The sequence below is a fragment of the Homo sapiens genome, chromosome 9 (assembly GCF_000001405.40).
Source record: "Homo sapiens chromosome 9, GRCh38.p14 Primary Assembly".
Taxonomy (NCBI): domain Eukaryota; kingdom Metazoa; phylum Chordata; class Mammalia; order Primates; family Hominidae; genus Homo; species Homo sapiens.
In genome coordinates this window covers 70,577,857-70,599,545 of record NC_000009.12, presented here as the reverse complement: position 1 = coordinate 70,599,545, position 21,689 = coordinate 70,577,857, and the positions used below count along the sequence as shown (strand labels likewise).

General features: G+C 41.4%; 1 protein-coding gene and 1 pseudogene across 19 annotated transcripts in view; both read left to right on the top strand.

Moving 5' to 3' along the window:
• Positions 1 to 21,689, top strand: part of TRPM3 (transient receptor potential cation channel subfamily M member 3) — a 917,912-nt gene that overhangs the window by 847,426 nt on the left and 48,797 nt on the right. For all 19 annotated transcript variants that reach the window (NM_001366143.2, NM_001366141.2, NM_001366142.2 and 16 more), the window contains 2 exons: positions 876 to 1,127; positions 8,341 to 8,515. In NM_001366143.2, the coding sequence (NP_001353072.1) occupies positions 876 to 1,127; positions 8,341 to 8,515 (427 nt within the window). The remainder of the gene's footprint in view (positions 1 to 875; positions 1,128 to 8,340; positions 8,516 to 21,689) is intronic.
• RN7SL726P (RNA, 7SL, cytoplasmic 726, pseudogene) lies at positions 20,088 to 20,383 on the top strand (annotated as a pseudogene).

Here is a 21,689-nt window from a genome sequence, read left to right as displayed (position 1 = left end):
AGAATAAAGGAGAATATGATGGGACGTGAAATGAGGCGACCATAAGGAGTTTGGATTTTTCACTATTTGTAATGGAAGTCATCAGAAAGCTTAAGCATACAATTATGATCATTTGCTTTAGTTTCTGTTGTTGTTGTTGTTCATTTGTCTCCTAAGTCTTTTTTTTAATTGAGGTATAATTTATCTATAATTGAACAACTCCTAAGGGTGCAGCTTGAAGAGTTTTTACCTATGCATATAACCTGGTAATTGCCAGCCAGATCTTTAAAGATCCAGGCTTTTAAAGATCATTATTTGTGCTGCTCAGAGAATGGGTTGAGGGTAAGTGGGCAATGACGATGATGGGGATACCAGTTAGAAGGCTGCTGCAATCTGTAAGATGTGATGGAGCTTAGAATAGGGAGGCAGCAGTGGAGGTGGTGAGAAGTAGTTGGCTAGGTTGCATTTAGAAATAGAGGTGATAGGACTTGGTGCAGAGGATGTGGGATGTGAAAGAGAAAAATGGAGGAGTCTTCCCAAGTGAACAGCCTGAGGAACTCAATATGGTGGCACTGTTTACTGAGATGAAGGAAGACTTCAGAGATTTGCAGCATACTAGGATTGAATCATTTTATAGCAAAACTCTTATGTGTGTCTTAGAATTTTACCACCACCCAAAGAATCAAAATTATTGCTTATATGTGCCTTTGGAATATTGCAGCTGAATAATCACCTAAGCTTAGCTCAGTCGGACTTTTACAGCATGCAAGTATTTAAGTAGATATAGGTAGACAAAGCAAGCTACTAACATCAGCCAACAGACCAAGCACTTCCCAACTGGGCTGAAAATACAGACAGAAACCAGACCTAACTCTGCTCTCCTTCCTGCCTTATAGATTCTGATGTCAGAGCCAGGGAAGTTGCTACAGAAAGTGAAGGTATGGCTGCAGGAGTACTGGAATGTCACGGACCTCATCGCCATCCTTCTGTTTTCTGTCGGAATGATCCTTCGTCTCCAAGACCAGCCCTTCAGGAGTGACGGGAGGGTCATCTACTGCGTGAACATCATTTACTGGTATATCCGTCTCCTAGACATCTTCGGCGTGAACAAGTATTTGGGCCCGTATGTAATGATGATTGGAAAAATGGTAAGCAGGGTCTTCTGATTCCATGTTATAAGTTTTCAGAGGAGGAATGGTGATAATAGATAGAGGGAAATAATTCATTTGGGCCTGCTATCAAAGTCTAAATGAGATGGCCCTAGAGGTGTTTTATTTTATGAATTCCTTTTGAATGTTTGGGGGTTTGACTACATCTATATACAAAACTGGAGAATTTATCCATCAGTCACTCATTCATTTACTGAAAAATACATAAGATCATCTATTTTATGCTGGACACTGGACTAGGAGTTGGGTATACAAAGATGTTCTTTCCATGAGATTAAAATTGATGGGAGAGAGAGGGAGGGAGGAATTACCACACCATGTGAAAAATGCTGTAATAGAGATGTGTATAAAGTACAACAGAACCACAGAAAAGATAATATAGGTCAGAAAAAGCACACAGAGGTTACATTTTAGCTGGGTGTTGGAGAAGGAATGGGTCTCCACTACAAATTTTTAACAGATTTTTTGAAGATCCTGTATTTTTAAATAAAGTTCTAGAAAAATGCCTTTCCCTACACAAAGGGAAGAAAAACATAATTTATTTGTGCTGATTTGAGTTGGGTTGAGTTGGGTTTGAACTGAACATTAAGTTCTATCATGCATCATGTGTTTGTTACACTACTGGAAAATGATGTCTGTTAAGAACTAGCTTCCAGAATGATGCTCCTTCTTATCGAATTCTTGAAGAAAAAATCCCAAGTAACAAGCTAATATGCTTCCCTACAAATGGCCAAGGACTTGTTCCAATAGTCCTTGACCACACACCAGTTTCCAGACTTTTTCCGTAGAGACTGAACCCTAGGAGAACAGCATCAGTGTGAATCTGGGAATGCATCAGTAAACAAGCTCCCTCTCAAAACTCACTAGAGGAAGAATCAGAGCCTGAAGCCAGAACTGGGTACTTTTCATCAGTTCTCCCAGTTTTCTAAGTGTGTCCCCTACTTCATCTTTACAAGATATATGTGGAAAAGCTAAGTACATCTGTCCTACCATGACGAACACCTCTTACTGAAAAACCTTTTTCCTGGTCAGACACAGTGGGTCATGCCTGCAATTCCAGCACTTTGGGAGGCTGAGGCAGGCAGATTACTTGAGCCCAGGAGTCTGAGACCAGCTTGGGCAGCACAGTGAGACACTGGTGATACAAAAACTAATGAAAAATTAGGGCCGGGCATGGTGGCTCACACCTGTAATCCTAGCACTTTGGGAGGCCAGGGTGGGCAGATCACCTGAGGTCGGGAGTTCGAGACCAGCCTGACCAACATGGAGAAACCCTATCTCTACTAAAAATACAAAATTAGCTGGGCATGGTGGTGTATGCCTGTAATCCTAGCTACTCGGGAGGCTGAGGCAGGAGAATCACTTGAACCCAGGAGGCAAGGTTGCGGTGAGCCAAGATCACACCATTGCACTCCAGCCTGGGCAAGAAGAGCTAAACTCTGTCTCAAAGAAAAGAAAAAGAAAAATTAACAGGGTGTGTGTTGACATGAGCCTGTGATCCCAGCTATCTGGGAGCCTGAGGTGGGAGGGTCACCTGAGCCCAGAGTTCAAGACTGCGGTGAGGTATTTTTTTCTCGAAAACAGAAAAAGAAAAACCTCTTTGCTAATATCTTTCACTTCACTTCCATTGTATGAGCCATTGAAACCAATGATTAGTCAATAGATGTTCTTTTTTTTTTTTTTTTGACAGTGTTTTACTCTGTCACCCAGGCTGGAATGCAGTGGTGCCACCTCTGCCTCCTGGGTTCTAGCAATTCTCCTGCCTCAACCTCCCGAGCAGCTGGGACTACAGTCACCTGCCACCACGCCAGGCTAATTTTTTGTTTTTATTAGAGACGAGGTTTCACTAGGTTGGCCAGGCTGGTCTCAAACTCCTGATCTCAAGTGATCCACCCGCCTCAGCCTCCCATAGTGCTGGGATTACAGGTGTGAGCCACCATGCCTGGCTGATGTTCTTTATTATTATTACTTGAGATTTACTATATGTATCATTGCTAACTCAATATTTATGGAACAGCTCTGTGTATGTATGTATGTGTATCTCTACTGAAATGAATCTTAAATAATCACGACTTTTCTTACAAAATCACTAACAAACTCATGCAAAGAGAGGAAGAATTCAAATTCAAAATGAATTGGGTATAACACATTGAGCAATTTATTTAAACCCCTTTGAGACTTGGTTTACTTGTTTCTAAAGTAGTGATGTATAATAAATGCATATCTTATAGGGTTATTGTTGTAATTATTAGAAATAATACATACTAAATGACCAGCTGTGTCTGGCTCATAGTTGGTGGTTGACAAATTATATCTGTTATCATTATGTTCAAATTGCATTTTTTAAATACAATGAAAGAAAGGAAAAATTGGTGAGTATAGTTATTATGCTGTATTCCTAACCCTACTGTACAAATGGTATTTATAACACCAGCATTGTTTAGGACAAATATCACCAAACTCATTCTAGAGAGAAAAAACACTTGAATTCATGAGCTTGAGTTACTTACCCAAAACGGAACCCCAGTTCAATTGGGGATTTTTTGACTAGGAAAAAAATGTGTATCTTACTCCATTATACTGCCTGTTATATCATCTTCTTTGCACTTTAACAATGAATTTGAGATTGTGGTGAAAATTCCTGTCTAAAAGCAGAGAGTCTAGATTTAGAGTCAAGGGATAGGGCTCAGGAGGTAGGATCTGTGGACCCTCTCTGCAATTTATATATAAAAATGTGTGGGTGTGTGAATTTTCTGGACAGAGGGGACAAGCTTTCATGAGATTCTCAAATGTATTTTCAAGTGGACCCAATGAAAGCAAAGAACTATAATAGCTATAAAATTAGGCCACATTTTCTCAACCTTGACACTGCTGATATCGTGGGCTGTATAATTCCTTATTTTAGGAAGCTGTCCTGTGTATCATAGGATATTTAGCAGTGTCTACCCAGTGGATGCCAGTAGCATGCACACGTGCACACACACACGCAGTTATGACTACAAAAAAGTCTCTAAACATCTCCACGTGTCCCTCAGGGAATGAAATTGGCCTCTGTTGAGAATTACTGCATTCTGTGATTACATAATCAGATTGGATGTTTTTTCTGATTGCTACCTTATTTTATTTTAACAAATAAAATCTGAAAAGACCCAAACAAACCAAATATATTACCCTTTAAAGCCTGGGTAGCATTTATATACTTGGAATAACTGAAGTCATGCTAATGCAGCGAGATTATTTTAAAATCCACGTCTATCATCTTAATAATGGCATAATTATCCCAGTTTTGACTAGAATGAAACCTTACTCAGGAGTGTGCAAGAGGAATGTACTGCATTTTCTCTACCTTTTAACTTATGAATGACTTCATTTATCAGTCAAGAATAAGTACAAAATGAGTACACTTGGGGACTTTGCTTCTCTTTCAAGGGGCTTTTAAGATAATCAGTTCAATAATTGATGCACTGATCCAGAAGGCAGATAAAATATGCCTATAGAATTTATCAGTGAGTCAGATGGACCACCAGGCTGGAACTTAAGAAAATGTGCCCAGATGTGTTATACTGAAAGCCTCTCAACATTAGGGAGTTCCCATTAAGCACAAAACAGCCAAGTGAGTCCCTGCCCTGTGGTCTAGGGACAGACAGCTGATGAGATTCCTGGACACACAATCATTAGGAGTCTATTTTGAAATTGGTACTATGAGTCTTTGCATAATATAAGAAGCCAGTACACCAAATGCCTCACAGCATGGAAAGCCTGCATATCCGGAAAGACTCCAATTGATCTGCTGCAGGCCCAGAATCACTTAACAAAATCCTGACTCCTTTCCTCCATATTCCACTTCTCAATGGAATTCTCTAAGCCTAGTACTAAGCTCACTTACATAATTCAGAATAAAAACAATAATGATAGCTATCATTTGCTGTGTGCCAGATACCATGTCAGACATGTCATCATCATACCCCCTCGGAAATAGGTTTTCATATCTGTGTTTAATAATTTAAACAATTGAATAAGAGACTAATCAAGGGACAATAACAGGATTCAAATTTCTGTCTAACTGACCCCACAACCTGACCTCCTTCCAACTCTAATAATAATAATACATTAACATTTATGGAGAACTTACCACATTGTTTCACATGCCATCTCATTGAATCTTTATAAAATAAATGTATTATTATTCCTATTTTACAAATAAAATAAAACAAGATTAAGCAGCTTGCCCGAGGCCACCTAGCTACATTTCTTTTTCTTTCTTTCTTTCTTTTTAACATTTAGGAAGCCTTTATTTTGTTTTTGTAATTATTTTTACTCGTTTTGTGTGAGTTTTTTTCCATGTAGCTATTTTTACTAGCAAAGTCAAGATGAAAACCCAGGTATTCTGACACCTAAGTACATGTGTTTAACCACTGCAGTGTATATATAATATATATTATATACACATTATATATTATATATACATTATACATTATAATGTATATTATACAATGCATATTATATATATGTGTATTATATATTACATTATATATAATAAATTATATAATATATATTATATACTCTCCTCTGTAGAACACAACAGAAAGATATTTACAAGATTAGGACAGGATCAGCTCTCTTAATATTGAACCGACTGGATAATTTAGCTTTAAAAAAGGAGGCCAGCCCCAGTTCTCACTAATAATGCTCTATTTCTGCACTGCATTCTATCAGATTTTGGTATTTGTATGAAAGCTAAGACTTCTTTGAAATATATGAAGCTAAGTGTTTGGGAAAAATGTTTCTTCTCTTTGATTGTTTTGACCCTTTGGATAGATAGCACAATCAATCTGAACAAAAACAATCCTGAGAAATTAAATTAGAACAGTTTCTGTATTTACTGGCTGAGTTTCCTTGGGTCAAACTAGCTTCTAAATCTCATGAGCACAAACCTTCCTCTCCCAACCCATCTTTTAATCAGTGTAAATAAACACAACATGAAGGACCCATGTGTGCTTTTTCATTGATAGAACTTTTTGTAAATAAATGATGAAAGAATTTTATAAAATAAGAGAGAGGATGAAAAACAGACCCATGTTTTCTATAAAACTTTCAACACAGCTGGCTTGCTCACTTTAAAAGAGTTCTGAGACCACTAAACTATAGAAGAAATAACTAATTAGCATACAACTTTAAAGACTATTTAAAAATATGAATGGATGTCAGATTTTAAGATATTCCTGTTTGGTTTTTAAGTCATGCAACACTTGTGAGATGCATTTTGAAGTTGCCTTGAAAATTGATTAGACCCCAGTGTCCTAAGGCATACAAGGAAGGCTATAATGTTTGAATTCCAATAACAGACACTCTTTTAAAACAAAATCGTGGCCGGGCACAGTGGCTCATACCTGTAATCCCAGCACTTTGGGAGGCCGAGGCGGGTGGCTCACAAGTTCAGGAGTTCAAGACCAGTCTGGCCAAGATGGTGAAACCCCATCTCTATTAAAAATACAAAAAAATTAGCGGGGCATGGTGGTGCACACCTGAAATCCCAGCTACTCAGGAGGCTGAGGCAGACAATTGCTTAAACCCGGGAGGCTGAGGTTGCAGTGAGCCGAGATCGCTCCACTGCACTCTAGCCTGGGTGACAGAATGAGACTCCATCTGAAAAATAATAATAAAATAAAAATTAAAAAATTGTAAAACTAATTTGAAGCCTCCATTATCATTGATAAAATTAGCATTAGGCTTTTTTTTGTGGATGGGCATCCCTTCAGGAAGTATGGTATCTAAGAGAAAGTCTTTTGTATTCTATGTTTTGATGCAAGCGATAGAAACCAATCTCCAACTAGCTTAAGCCTAGAAGGGATATATTGACTTATGAAGGGCATAATGAAACTGGCCTTAGGGGCTACTGCAAACAGGGACCCAATCACTGTCAAGCTTTGCTCACTTTCTCTTGCAAATCGGCTTCATTTACTCTGATCAGTTTCACTGGCGGAGAACTCAGCGTCAGATACAAATACTATGAACTCACCCCATTACAGAGACACAAGGAACTTCTTTCTCCCAGCTTTAGTTAAAAACAAAACAAAGCAAAGCCAATACAAGGATTCTGGTTGGCCTGTCTTGGTCAAATCCCTGCTTCTATCACTCTTGCCGGGGCCAGTATCATATTTAACGTAGCCTGGAAAACACACCTACCTTGTGGCCATACTGGGTAGAAACTGTTTATAAAAGGAGGAGGTAATGGGTTCTGGCCAGAAAAAAAATCAATAGTTATTGCATCCTCATCTATTTAATATTTTGAGTGATAAAAGGAAAATAATTTGGCATATAAGAAACAGATCCCAAATAACATACATCATGGAAAGAAGGAAGAATGAGGAACAAGAGATAACATTATATTAGAGAGCAGCCTGGAGGATTTTATAAACCTGTCAAGATGAAAATCCATCATTTCTACAGCAGGTACAGGTCTGAGTCATTAGGGTGCATGATTCTAATGCCCAAGAAAACACCCTCCATAGCCAATGGGATACCCTGCAGGAGAAGTATACAAACAGCCATTTTCTCTGAGAGACTGGTTGGTGGTAGAATACTATGCAGTGGGGTGGGGCCACAAGAATAAGAATATAATGGATATTTGGTTTATCCTAGCTTCGTTTATAGGCAGTTTTTGTTGTTGTTGTTTTGTTTTGTTTTTGAGCTTTCCAATTTTTCATTAGCCTTTCAGAACTTAGAAAGGAGGTTTACAGCATTGCAGTCGCTCTTGGAATAGTTCAACTCTCCCAATTCCAGTTTCTCTAAGAAGAAAGAGACCCAAAGAGGACACTTGCCTCCCCCAGGAGCAGAGAAAAAGTTAGCACCTGATTCACACAGAGGCCTAAGCTTCCATTTATATGACTCCTATGCCTAGCCTATGTGGGACCTATGCTCGGTCCCACAGACAGCAATGAAAAACGAAGAGGCTTCATCTGTGTGTGCACTTTTTGAAATGTTTTTTGAGTCACTGATAGAATTCTGTGGACACTGGCTTCAACAGACCAAGCATCTTCTTATCTGGACACAACTCCCTGTCTAAACATCCCTTCCCAGCAGTCTAGAAAGTGGACCTCCTCCAAAGGTTCCCATCATTGTCAGCAATTATAAGAACACTCAATCATATGGGTTTTCTCTTGTTTCTCCCTCTGCTTCCCCACCCTTCCAGATGATAGACATGATGTACTTTGTCATCATTATGCTGGTGGTTCTGATGAGCTTTGGGGTCGCCAGGCAAGCCATCCTTTTTCCCAATGAGGAGCCATCATGGAAACTGGCCAAGAACATCTTCTACATGCCCTATTGGATGATTTATGGGGAAGTGTTTGCGGACCAGATAGACCGTAAGCAAGTTTATGATTCTCATACACCAAAGTCAGGTATTTAAATTCAATTCGGTTATGTCTTTTCCAAGTTCATTTGTTTGTTCTCAATAAATGGCTCAAGATAGAGGACTGATTCCTAGCTTGCTATCTTGGAGGAAACAAAAATTACAGAAGGTGAATACACAATTTTAGCAAAGTAGTTCTTGGGTATTTCTTTAGGTATGTCATGTTCTGTGACACGAATCGACATCTGGTATACCAAATTTGATCAAACAATGAACCACTTAGAAAGATCTAAATTACTTTATGATTCAAACTCCCAGGGCCATGTGTTGAATATTTCAGTATCAGGAATATTTTATGTCACTACCTCCCTACCTCTACCCCAGCCTTTAGAAAATAAATTTCTTGAGTTGGACTTCAGAACAAATAAACAATGCTCGATTTCACCATCAGAATTCAAGAGTAAGGGCAAACATCTGCATGGTATTTTTCTTGCACTGGAAACTATTCTCCAACTCCCTTTCCCACTGTCTTAAATTATGTGCTATTGAGACTCATAGGAAGCTGGTATTCATTGCCTGGAAGTATGGAAAATGCCTTAGGTCATAAACTGAGTTGCTTGCTATAAATGCCAAAAAGAAAATAGTATCTATATTATGAAACGATTCAGTGTGGGGAGTGAATGCCAGCAAGCCCCCAAGGTTTCATGCCCTAATAGATGCCGATTCTCTGTAATAAACACTCCTTTTGTATGGAGTTTGAAGATAGTTGTATCCTAGGAGTCTGTTCCAGGATTTTACTGGGACCAAATGTCAGGACACACCAGGCATTGGGAAATTTTTTGGGAAGAAAGCATCATTAAAGAAACATCTTTCAGTGTGGAGGAGTTGAATCCCAGGAGCAATGATTTCTCATTTCCCCTGAGGAGTTTAGTTCTGGAAATAACATCCCTCCAACATTGTTGAATTAACATTTTTCAGACATTTTTTTGCTGACAGGCCAGCCGTCTGAGCCCTGGACTGTGGACATGGATTAGGGTTGCATAACCAGGTAGTATAGCTTATTAAGAGCAGGAGCAGAGACTAGTTAGCATCCCCACTCCCACTGCCCATCCCCGGTAGGACTGAGACCAGGAAAATAGGGACAAGGCAGCAAAGAGTGTGAGTCCTCCAGGCCTGTGAAGAGGATGTGTACGTTGGCAACAGAACACACCGGTACGTCATTTATTCTTCCACGATGGATTTTGAACAAACACACTTTCCTTCTCAAAATGCGTTATCTAAGGCAATCAAGACTTTTTGGAACACCTAATTGGAACAAATACTTGTTTCATGAGACTTAGCCAACTCACTGAGGAAGAATTTTAACTCCATCTCCTGGTTGTAATATCTTTGGCTGACAATGTGCAGCCTTCACCAAGACAGCTTGCCAGGGACTGGGGAAAATCCTTTTGAGAGCCTGCTTTCAAACAGTCCCTAAAGGCAAAACAACACTTTTTAAAAACCCACCTATGACCATTTTCCTCAGAGATTAAATGTGCTATTTCCCCCCAAGAAATTGTTTTTCCACTTAGTTACATTATTTTGCCTTTTTTAGTTTTCCTTTCTGCTCCAAAATGAGATTAAGCCCCCAGGGAAGTTTTGACAATGCCACATTTTGGGATGGGAGAAGGAGGGAGGTGTAGGTGTGTTTTATAAATGGGATTCTGTCTGTCCCTCTACAAGTGGCCATTTATTGATGTTGTACTATGAACCCAGCCTAGTGCAACAAACACCACCATCTGGCTGAATAAGAGGATTTATTATTGTTATTTTAAAAGAAGGGCTGATTGTAGTTTAGAACTTGAAAACCCCCTGGAGACAGAGAAGATGTGTTCTGTGTGAGTGAAACATGAAAATAGATTTCCCACACTGTTAATTAGATCTGTGGAGCTCTACGTGTGTGAGAATAAATTTCGACTCCAAACCTCAATGTATAACTGACCCAGCCTTGGATAGATGCAGCCTTCGTGATGCCCTTCCCCAACCACTTACCTTCCTTTTCGATGTTCTGAAAGAGCTACAATGGTAGCCACTGTTCTAAGCTAAATCAGCCAGTTTTCTGTCTAGTGCTAGTGAGTATTTGTCCTTTCTCAAATGGATATAGAAGGCTGCCCCCAAAATCTGTCATGACATTTGGCCAAGGTCATTGAACATTCCTGTCCTCCAAATGATTTAATATTCATGTTATGGCCCTGGATGGGCCCAGTGGGGATTGGGTGACTGCCCTAGCTGGTCATTCAGAACTGCTCTGGAGTCCCAAGTACCAAGCTATTTGAGAAAGGTACAAATCTTTTATGCTGCCCTACGACGTCTTGCCTCTTTTCTGTGTCGTGCCCAGGTTGGTTTGTGAAGCATGTTTTCAGGCTGATCGGATCTCATATCCGCCTGGACCCACAGCCCTTCCCAGGGTCTCCAGTCCCATCCTGTGGGTGTACCCCGTGCGGGCCTTCTGAAATGCTGCTCATTCAAACACACCTTCGCAGAGTGACTCATTTCTAACGGAATGCGTGTGCTCCATAGCTAACTCTTTTTTTTTTTTTACTTCAGAATTGCTAAGCCCATTTCATGTTTGGGAAAATACTCTTTCTTAATTGGGTTGGACGTATATGGATGTACAATAGGGCCCTTGGGGTGGGTTTTTAACATCAATCATACACCTCAGAAGAGAGGGCGGCTTTGATGCCCTCACTTCTGGGAGGCAATGTTACCTTGCTACAGATCTTTGATATGCCTTCCACCTTTTCTTCTGTTATTTGTTCTAAACACAGAGATCAAAGATCGATAAGATCAATAAAGCCTAAGATACTGGAATGAAACTTCTAAGGTTACTTTCCAAATGTGCTTAAAACTAAACCCAAAGGAAAGAAAATGGAGTCGCTGTAAAGTCACAACATAATTTAGGTGCTTTTCACCTCTAAGCCATGTTGAACTAAACACAAATGATAGTTCAGCCTTAATCTAAGTTCTCTGTGGAGACTGAAATGTTTGTTTTGTTTGGAAGCAGAGGAGAGTGAGAGAATGTGATTGGAAGCAGAAGATAAGGAACCTGGGGAAGGGACAGTGACTGTCCGCTCTACCCGGAAACTTTGCCTACCACCTTGATTTAATTCGTGGGAATGCAACTTGCTGTTGTTGTGTGGTTGGTTCCTTTTTGGTTTGTCTGGTTTCTTTCAAATAGCCCAAAATTGTCTTCACGTGTTTGCTATATAGAATCCTAGCTCTCCAAGAACCAATCTAAGGGCTACCATGAAACAACTTAGGCCCTGGGTTGTTAAATGCATGGCTACCAAATGATGACACCCTTTTGGGTAGTCTCATCAGTGTGACCCATGTGGCATGGCCTCTGAGAGCTGGTCAGGATCCCACTGGAGCTTGAGGAGAAAAGCCACTTAGAAAAGAGGAGCAGCAGAATTCATTTCCACCCCAGCAGCATTTCATGCCAAGGCCGGAGCAAAGCTAAAATTAGATGGACTCTTGCCAGCTTAGAAATCTGGTTCTGCATTCTGGTGTGTGAGGTGCCTAGAAGTGCACCTTTGTTGGCAGGGAAAACGGGGTGTCTCTGGCTTTCTCCAGCCCCTGAATGAATGCGACTTTCATTTATTTACAGGGCATCCATGTGCTGCTGGCTGTATATTCAGATTCCCCAGGCTGTACCAGGGCAGGAGGAAAATGAATCATGCTCTTGAATGCATTAAGTAAGGGTCTAAATTTAGTCCTCCTTTCTGCTTCTCTGAGTATTTTTACAAGTTTAGATAGTAATGTGAAAGCAGAATGTCCAAAACTTACTTTCTACCATGACAACTTAATATTATCTAGCCCTTTCCATTCACTCCAAATTAGCTATCCAATCTACTTAATGCCTGGGTTACTTTTTTTTCTTACTGCCTAGGGCTTTTCCATCTAAAATTAATAGGTAGTCTGGGGTAGGAAGGTTTTTGTTTTGTTTTTGCTTTATTTATGTATGTATATATTTAGTACAAAGGTTTGCTATAAAAAAAAAAAATCCTTGCTCCTTTGTGTCCATGTTGTCTCTGTGATGTTGACTGAATTTAAAGTGTTGTTTTTGTCATGTGTGTGCATGTAAAGCCAAAACACATTCCTGAATTATTTTTCTGCCTCAAATTAATTGTTCCTCACTTCCCATGTGGAAATCAGAACATCTCAAGGAGCCAGTCTCTAAAATACGCCTGCTTATGGTGAAGTTTAGAGCAGCATGAACGAAGATGACTATTGTTATGCATTGCAATCATGAAACTCCAGTTCTCAAGACTCAGGGCTGTGCATCTGTTTAGTATTCTGAACTGACCTTCTCTAATGGATTCAGAGCACACTAATGCCTAACAGCTATAGCGTGGGGAGTGTTGCTTGACCAAAAAAGTATTTTGGAAAAGGAAAACTTGAGCCAGTGCCAACTTTTGGGAAAGGGTTTTGTTTTGTTGGGTTTTGTTTTCACAAATTGCTAAGGAAGCAAGCCAATATGAGGCACCATCCTCATTTTCTGTCCCTGAAAGCCAGCTCACGTTATAGAGAATACCCACCTGACTTGTTTACTAATACAAACTGAGGCTTAATGGATTTACAAATAACAGAGCTATCTGCAGACAGGACTTTGTGATGATTCCGGACGCTGTTTTGATCAACACTTGTTCTATTGTCATAACATTTAATTAGCATTTTCTCACAGGTTGGACTCCACTTTGAATTCTTTCTTCAGTCAATGAATATTTATTTTGTTTGTACTGTGAGCTGGGAACCAGAGCACAGAGATACATGTGACGGAGGCTTTGTCTTCAAGGAGCTTACAGTCCAGGAAAGGCAAGCTGCCATTGACGATACATGTGTAGAGATGGAGCCAAAGAAGGTAGCCAGTTCTACCTGGGGTGGGAGATGAGACCTTGCAGAGAAAGGGAGGGTTGAGCTGAGCCGCTCGATATGAGCTGATGTTTCAGGAAGATGAGAGCAGGAGGTGTAAGGAGAGAAGAATGGCCTTCCAAACTGCGAATTAGTATGAAAAGTTCCAGGAGCAGTGGATATTTAGTATGGCTGATGGTAGAGTAAGAGGCAAGAGATAGGAAGTAGGACGGAAGGGTCTGAGGAGACAGACGGGGTACAGATCCTGGAGGACTTACACTCCATGCTCAGAATAGTACCATGATCAAGATGTATGTTTTAATCAGAGCTCCCAAGCAAAAATGTGGAAAGTCCATAAGAGGGGTAGAGGTGGGAAGTGAGAGGTGAGAGGAAATTTCTAATGCAGCAGCAGCTGGAATGGAGGAAACAGGCAGGATGAGATTTTAGGAAGGTACAATCAAAAGAACCTGGAAAGAAATCAGATGGTGCAGAGGGTGATAGTGGGAAAAGTGGATGGGGATTTAAAACAGAGGAGCTGGAGATTACGCCAAGGTTTCTGGCTTAGTCTAAAGGGTGATGTCATTCACTGAGATAGAGAATCTGGGACAAGGAACTATGGGGGTATGGGGACTTTTTCTGTCAGGATTGAATTGAGTTTGAGGTTTCTATGGGAATTCCAGGAAAACCATGAAGAAGGCTATTTTGCACATAGAACTCTGGAGCTTAGTAGAAGCTGGACAGGAGATAGAGATTTAGGGATCAACCACCGTGATGGTTAATGCCATGATGGGTGAGCTTACCAGCGGGCACAAGTAGAAAGAGAAGAGAAGGCCAGAGAGGAATACTGAGTGGTCAACGGTGTCAAATGCAAGAGAAAAGTCCAACTGGGTGAATATTTATAGACGTCCATTCAGTTAGTCCTTCAGGAAGTCACTGGTGACTTTTGCCAGGACATTTTTATTTCAGTGCAAGCGCAAAAACCAATTGCAGTGATGTAAGAGTAAATCAGCAACAGGACAAAGCATTTACTAGGCAAGAGGGAGAGAAATGCTGTATATGTATCAGCGGGGCAGGAGGGGCAGAGAAAGCACAATGCAGTAGAGCTCTGAGAAGAGTGATGTCTTATAATCACCACTAGGAAAGTGGCAGATGTCACTGACTTGGTACATATCACAGGATTGCTCTGGGCCACCTATTTGCATAGATAAGTTGTGTGTTTCCCCAGTCATGACTCTGCACCCCAGATATAGTACAGGAAAGACAAATGGCTGGATTAATCCAAGATTGAGGCTTTGCTGTGCCCACATGGCAGAGAGGGAACAGGGACTAGGGTTATTAAAGATGTTTGCAAGGGTTTTTGAAGTTATACATTGTGAGGTGTAAGATGAAGGGAAAAGAAAGGTATAAAGTTGGTGAAAACCCCAGAGGAAAAAGGAATAATCAAAGGACTAGGTTTCTAGCCTGAGAAGCAATTACATTGACTAAAGGTCCTGAAGGCCGTGATTATACGATGTTGTGGTCAGGCAATAGTAAATTGGTGTTCAGAATTAAGAGGTGAAGCAGTTTAGAATAATGATAAGGTCCAGGGGTAGCTATGAGGATGGGTTCTAGAACATGCTGGAGTTGAGGTCAAGTATCTTGAAGCTAGATTCTTCTGTGTTTATCAATACAGATATTGAAGTTGTTCACAATAATGACAGGAGAAGGTGTGAATGGGAAGACTTTGATCAGGATGACCTGAAACTCAAAAAAGAAAGGGTTTTTTGCACAAGAGTGAAAAACAGTGGTTTGGAAAAGGCAAAGAATATCAATAAAAATGCAGACATTGCCTCGGAACCACAATGTAGAAAAATGTGCAACTTCTACTTGAAAAGGTAACAGAGAGGTGGTGTCTTCCTGCAAGATGGATTTTAATTAAGGCAAGAAAATGGGGAAGTGGACTCATAAAAATATGAGAAAGAAGGCCAGGCACAGTGGCTCATGCATTTCGGGAGGCTGAGGCAGGAGGATCATTTCAGATCAGGAGTTCAAAACTCCAGTGACACATTATTGCGCCACTGCACTCTAGCCTGGGCAACAGAGCAAGACCCTGTCTCAAAAAAAAGGTACAAGAAAGCAGAGGAGTTTGTATTCAGTGATAATTGGGTTCTGGAAGACTCAGGGGAAAAGGAGAAAAAGGGAACAGCGATGAGAGTTCAGGGGCAGAAAGCCTAGCATCATATGAAGACAATAGCCCAGGGGAAGGTGGGTGGCTGGAGGAGCTTGCATTGTAGGAATAGGAGATGATAGAAAGAAGTACGGTGAGAGTAACTTAGCCAGAGTTTTAAGACAGCTAAAGACTGGAACTCTAGTAGTATAAGAGATCAGATGAAGCTAATGATACCTAGCCCTAAAAGGATAGAACTGGAGACTTTGTGTAATAGAGAAGAGTAACTAGATCCTGAAGAGGAACCTCCCCAAATGGCTAGAGGATTCTCCATCTCAAAGGAGGCTCTCCTTTTGAAATTGGCAATGGCTTGTGATGCTAGAGAAGCATCATTCATCACCTTCCACAAAGGTGAACTCTTGATATAACCTTGGAATATTCCACTTTTCTTTAACCTTTTCCAGACTTGCTAATACCTTGCCTATAATTAAATTTAGCGCTTGTTCCATCTTGACCATTTTCAGCCTCTGTTGTAATTCTGCCTTTAACAGAGCACTTTTGTTTCACCCTATGTTTGCATGACTTCAAAGACCATGCTTTTTCTACTCTATCATGACTATAAGTCATAGGTAACCTGGCCACTCCCAGTGGAACTCCAGAAACACCATGTAGCCTGAGCCCGCAAAGCATGCGCAAGCTATGAAGTGTAGCGTTCACTCTCATACACTCTCACGTGTATGTGCAGACTCACATTTCTTTTTTCTCTCCTCCAGCCCTGCTTCTGCCAAGACATTTTTATCTATTCCCCAAATCCTCCCTTCTGTTGCCCCTTCTGAAAACACTCTAAGGTCCCTGAGAGCTTGTACATTTGGACCACAAAAGCAGCCAGAGAAACTCAAGGGCTATTTCTGGATTCTGTGCTGCAACCTTCCGTTCCCTGGGGTGGGGGGTACCAAGCCAGTACCTGCTTGAAATATAGGAAGAGAAGTGAGTACTTCTACATACTATTCCACCACACTAATTTAACCATCTTGTAAGTAAAAACAGGATACCCAAAATAAAAATAAACACATAGGTTCCACGCATCCTAGACATAACCCACATGTTTCAAAGAAAGATTATATATGAAGTAATTGTAACCTGGTGTCATCATAAATCATCTCACAGTGTGGCCACAGGGATCTCTTAGACTCCCAGAATGGTGGTAAGTCTGGAAATTCTTCAGAATAGCCCTGTACAGTAGAATCTACTGTGATGGGTGATGGTACTCATCTAGATCTATATTGTCCAATACCATAGCTGCTCGTCACATATGGCTACTGAGTGCTTGAAATGTGGCTAGTATAAATAATAAACTAAATTTTTAATTTTTTTCTTTTTAATTAACTGAGATTTTAATTTAAATAGCTGCATGTTGCTAGTGGCCACTGAATTAGATAGCACTGTTCTAGAATATAAAAATCCTTTAGAATGCCAGCTCTGTGAGAGCAGGGACCCACATCTTTCTTGTTCACTGCAGTATCTCCAATACCTCAAACTATGTCTCACACAATGTAGGTGCTCAGAAAATAGTTGATGCATGAATTAAACTCCTTGAAGCAGAGGATAGAGAGTGATGTTGTTATCTGCTTTAAACAATCAATCAAGCAAACAAAAAGATTTCAGGGACTACATATAAAGAAACTAGAAAAGCTGAAGTGTCAGAAATGTCAGTCAAGATGATGAAAAGAAGCTATGTTTGTTATAAAGGAATTTAAAATGTGGATTAAATTAAATGTAGTGATCATGGATTCATGACACACACACACACACACACACACACACACGCACAGGGTGGAGGCGGGGAGGAGTGAGAAAGGAAAGTGGACTCAAAGGGGATTCTAGAGTTAAGTTCCTGAAAGTAGCTAGCTAACTTTGTTTTCAAGAAGAAAATTCCAGCTGCATTCAAGAAATATCTATTGAAAAAGTCATGATTGTAGTATATGTGCAGAGATTAGGCAGCTATAAGGAAGGGAGGGAGAAAAAGAGGGAGAGAAGGAAGGAAGAAAGGAAGGAGAAGACAAGGAAAAAAGGGAGGGAAGGAGGGAAGGAATGAAGAAGGGAGGGAAGGAGGAAGGGAGGGAGGGAGACTGGCCCACCTGCTGGCCCTTGATTGTTGAGGGCAGCAGAGGAAGGAAGAGAGAGCTGTGTGAGCCCAGCAGCAGGACCAGTTGAGGCCCATGCAGACAGCCCCACCAGCTCTGAGCCTCACCATGCCGGCGGTGGTTGCCATGCATCCTGTAACTATGGCCTTTCCAAAGGCTCAGTGTTCTGACCAAACACAGCAAGGCAGATGGTTGATTTCCACTCAAAGCAGAGCAGAGTACACCCCTTCTGAATAACGTGGCAAGATTTTAATTGATCTGTATTAACAGCAACCAACAAATAGACTGATCTCCACACAGGCTAACTATTAGCAGATGATCCCAGCAAGGCTCACACATTAGTTGCCTTTCCTCAGATGTGACAGAGTCCAAATAAGCCTGCAACCTCAATATGTAAGGGAAAGGAAGATGCTCAAGATCTTTTGCAAGATACTGTCCAGTGGAGCGAGTCGCTTCCTGCGGCTAGATATCAGACCACGTCTGTCAAGTGATGTTTGACTGAATTGCTTGGCTTTCAGCCAAATATTTGATATCTAGAACATCAGGCCTAAGGTTCAAGATGAGTGCTTGCTTGGAAAAAGACCCCAATAACTTCAGGTCAAATGCAGGATGTTGAGTCTTCAACTTAGTGACACACTCAATTCAGGGAGATGACACCCACTGGTGAGTTAAGGATAGAGGGGCTATTTCTTGGCCCAGGCTGTGGTTACGTGGGCTTTCATTTTACACTGGACATATATGTTTTATGGACTCTTCTGTGTATATATCTCATAATCTAATACACAAAGGAATAAAGGAGACATCCTGCTATAATATTTTCCAGATTCTAGTTTGAATGGGTTCATTCATTCAATGACATTTACTAAGCACTTCAAGTGCCAGGCTCTGTGCCACGAGATGGGAGTTAAAAAGACATACTTTGTTGCCTCAGTTTTGAAGGAAGTTGCTGAAGAAGACTGACAGCTAAACACACATTACAAATCAGCGTGATATATATTTTCATAGAGGTGTTGTGTAAGGACTTAGCTCAAAGGAAAGAACACAGTTTAGCAGTAGGAAAAGGGGAAGAGAAAAGGGAGGGCGGGCCAGATGCACTCTGAGAAAGTCTCCTGGAGGTAACAGTTAAGCTGGATCACAAAGGATTTTAAGAGTTTTTCAGACAGATAATGACAGGGCATTCTAAACAGAGGGACTGTTATGTACAAAACCAGAGGCATGACAGAGCATGCCTGGTGTGGGCATATGGGGGCCAGAGAGAACGGAGATATGAGGTGTCCTCCCTGGGCCAGCCTGGAACTAGCCTCTAGGTTAGTTCTGTGTCCGAGGTACTCCCAAGCCCTCTGTATCTACACTGGGTTGATGTGGACACCATATTGTTTTTGTCTGATTTCTTGTGTGTATCCCTTATTGGATTCTATGCATTGTGGGGGTTGGGGATGGGTTGGGGCCAGGGTCTGTATTCATCTTTTCCACCATTACTTGAGTGAATTAATGGAGAAGAGGTTAGTAAGGCAGATTGCTGTAAAGGGCTTTATATGTCAGGCTAAGGGATTTGGATCTTGTTGGAAATTCGCAGGTCGCCTTGTGTGGAGCCCCTTTTTAAGTATAGCTTCAGTTTATGGGATGCATAGGTGTCACTGAAGAGTGGGGAGATCATGGCTAGAAAATATGCAACCATAATGCTCATTTCAGGGAAATTAGATAAGCCATAAAAAAGCCCTTTGTTCCAAAATATCTTCTAAAACAGGAGCAACAACCTTCTCTTTTAAGAGTCAAAACATTCCCTGAACAGGTTAAACCTGCTGACTCTTCTCGCCTTAATGTGAAGTATGTGAATCGCTCCTCTCAACCCCCAAAATAGCTGAAATCAGCATTCAGGGAAGGGGCGTTGAAATGGGGGCAGGTGACGTGGAAGCTGATGGCTCAGCATGCGTGAGGTGGACCCTGAGCAGCCAGAAGCCAGCATGAGGCAACTGAGTGTCTGGAGGGCAAGAAAAGTGAGACAGGGTGTGGGGAGGCTTCACAAAGACACATGGTGGCAAAACGGCTTTGCCTACATGGCAGTTTTGTCAAGGGTCCTGGCAGATGCCCAGTTTGCCTCCAAACACTGTCTTCTACGCTGCCTGCAGTAAATTGCTGATGCCTGAACTTGAATATCAGGATCACCTGAAGTTCTACAAGCCTCAGGTTCCTCAGTTCAGTCTGCGGGCACGGGCTTCCTAGCTGCAGCTTTTTCAGTTCAGCTAGGTTTCTCCTCCTCCAAACCCCATCTCTCCCCTTCTGGAAAACTAACAGAGACAGAGGAGAGAAAGGAAGAGAGGAGAGGAATGAATGCATTTATATACTACCCTTTCTCACTTTTTTCTTATCATTAGTTCATCCAAATCAAAAAATCTATTCCCACTGGGCACGGTGGTGCACACCTGTAGTCACAGCTACTCGTGAGGTTAAGGCAGGAGGACCACTTGAGCCCAGGAGTTCTGGGTTATAGTGTGCTGTGTCGATCAGGCATCCACAATAAGTTTAGCATCAATGTAGTGACCTCCTGGGAGGGAGGGACCAGCAGGTTGCCTAAGGAGGGGTGAAGTGGTCCAGGTTAGAAATGGAACAGACCAAAACTCCCATGCTGATGGGTCGTGGGATCACGCCTGTGAATAGCAACTGCACTCCAGCCTGGGCAACATAGCGAGACTCCATCTCTAAAAAACTAAAAATAAAAATCTATTCTCCAGGAAACTCAAAGGTCTGAAAGGCCCAAGGACAGCCCAGAGGAGCTGAGTACTCTCAAACATGCTTACTTATGATCACAAGATAATCTCTCATAGTCAAGGTCTATCTCACTGGTTCTCAACCAGGGGCAGTTGCACCCCCTAACCACCACCCAGCAAAGAGACATTTGGCACTCCCTGAAAGTATTTTGGTTGTCACAACCCAGGGGGCGCTACTAACATCTAGCAGTAGAGGCCAGGAATGCTGCCTAACATCCCCTGATGCACAGGACATCTTCTCCAGACAAAGAATTATCCCACCCAAAATGTCAATGTGCTGAGATTGAGAAAACCTGGCCTATCAGAACCCAAAATTCAACTCCTGATTGCTTCTGAAAGAGATGACACAATGTAGTTGCCTCAACTTGTAAGAAGTCCTAAAGGACAGATCTGAAGGGGCCCCAAGTCCTCACAAACTAAAGCCAGGCAGAGAGTGCTGCAGGTCCCCATTGATCATCCCTTACAGGGTTTCACGACATCTCCCTCTGCTCTGCTCACTCTGTCTTCAGACCAAAGACCAAGTTAGGACATCGGGCACTTAGGGTGTCTGAACAGTCAACGTGAAGGACTCCTTTTGGCAAACACCAGTAGATCTTGTCCCATGCCCTTGGGCACCAGTTTTGGACATAATAAGCTATCATTGCTATGAAGAACAAGAAGAACCCAGAGGCCTTAACCTATGATTTAGAATTTACAAATATTTTGCTAATCCAGGTGGAGTCTAGCAAACTTCAACACCTCCCTTCTCAAGTTTGCATCTAAGAGAGACACCAGTCTTTTTTTTTTTTTTTTTTTTTGGATACAAAAGCACCATGACGCACTCACAAAGAAAGTGGTCTGAGTGATCTCAGACATCCTGGCAAAATAGTTCAGTTCAATCAATCCAGCTCACCATTTGTGATAAAGCGCAAAGGGGAATCAAACCCCCCATGATAAGATTCAATAGTTATATTTACTGATCAACTTAACACCACTGAACCAAATTGAAAACAGTTTTAAACATTCACTGGGGCCAGTGACTCTCTCCTGAGTTGATGGGCTAGCTTTACAGAATCACAGGCCTTGAAGCAAAGGGATGAAGTCTGCTATGTGCCCTTTTTAATATTCTGAACAAGAGCTTCAGAAGTAAAATGTCACTATGAACTGAATGGTTACAGTACTGTTACAAGAAAGCCGGTTGCTGACAAGTACTTCAAAGTCACTCGTGCCACCTGAGGAACATAATGTTCAAGCACCGAA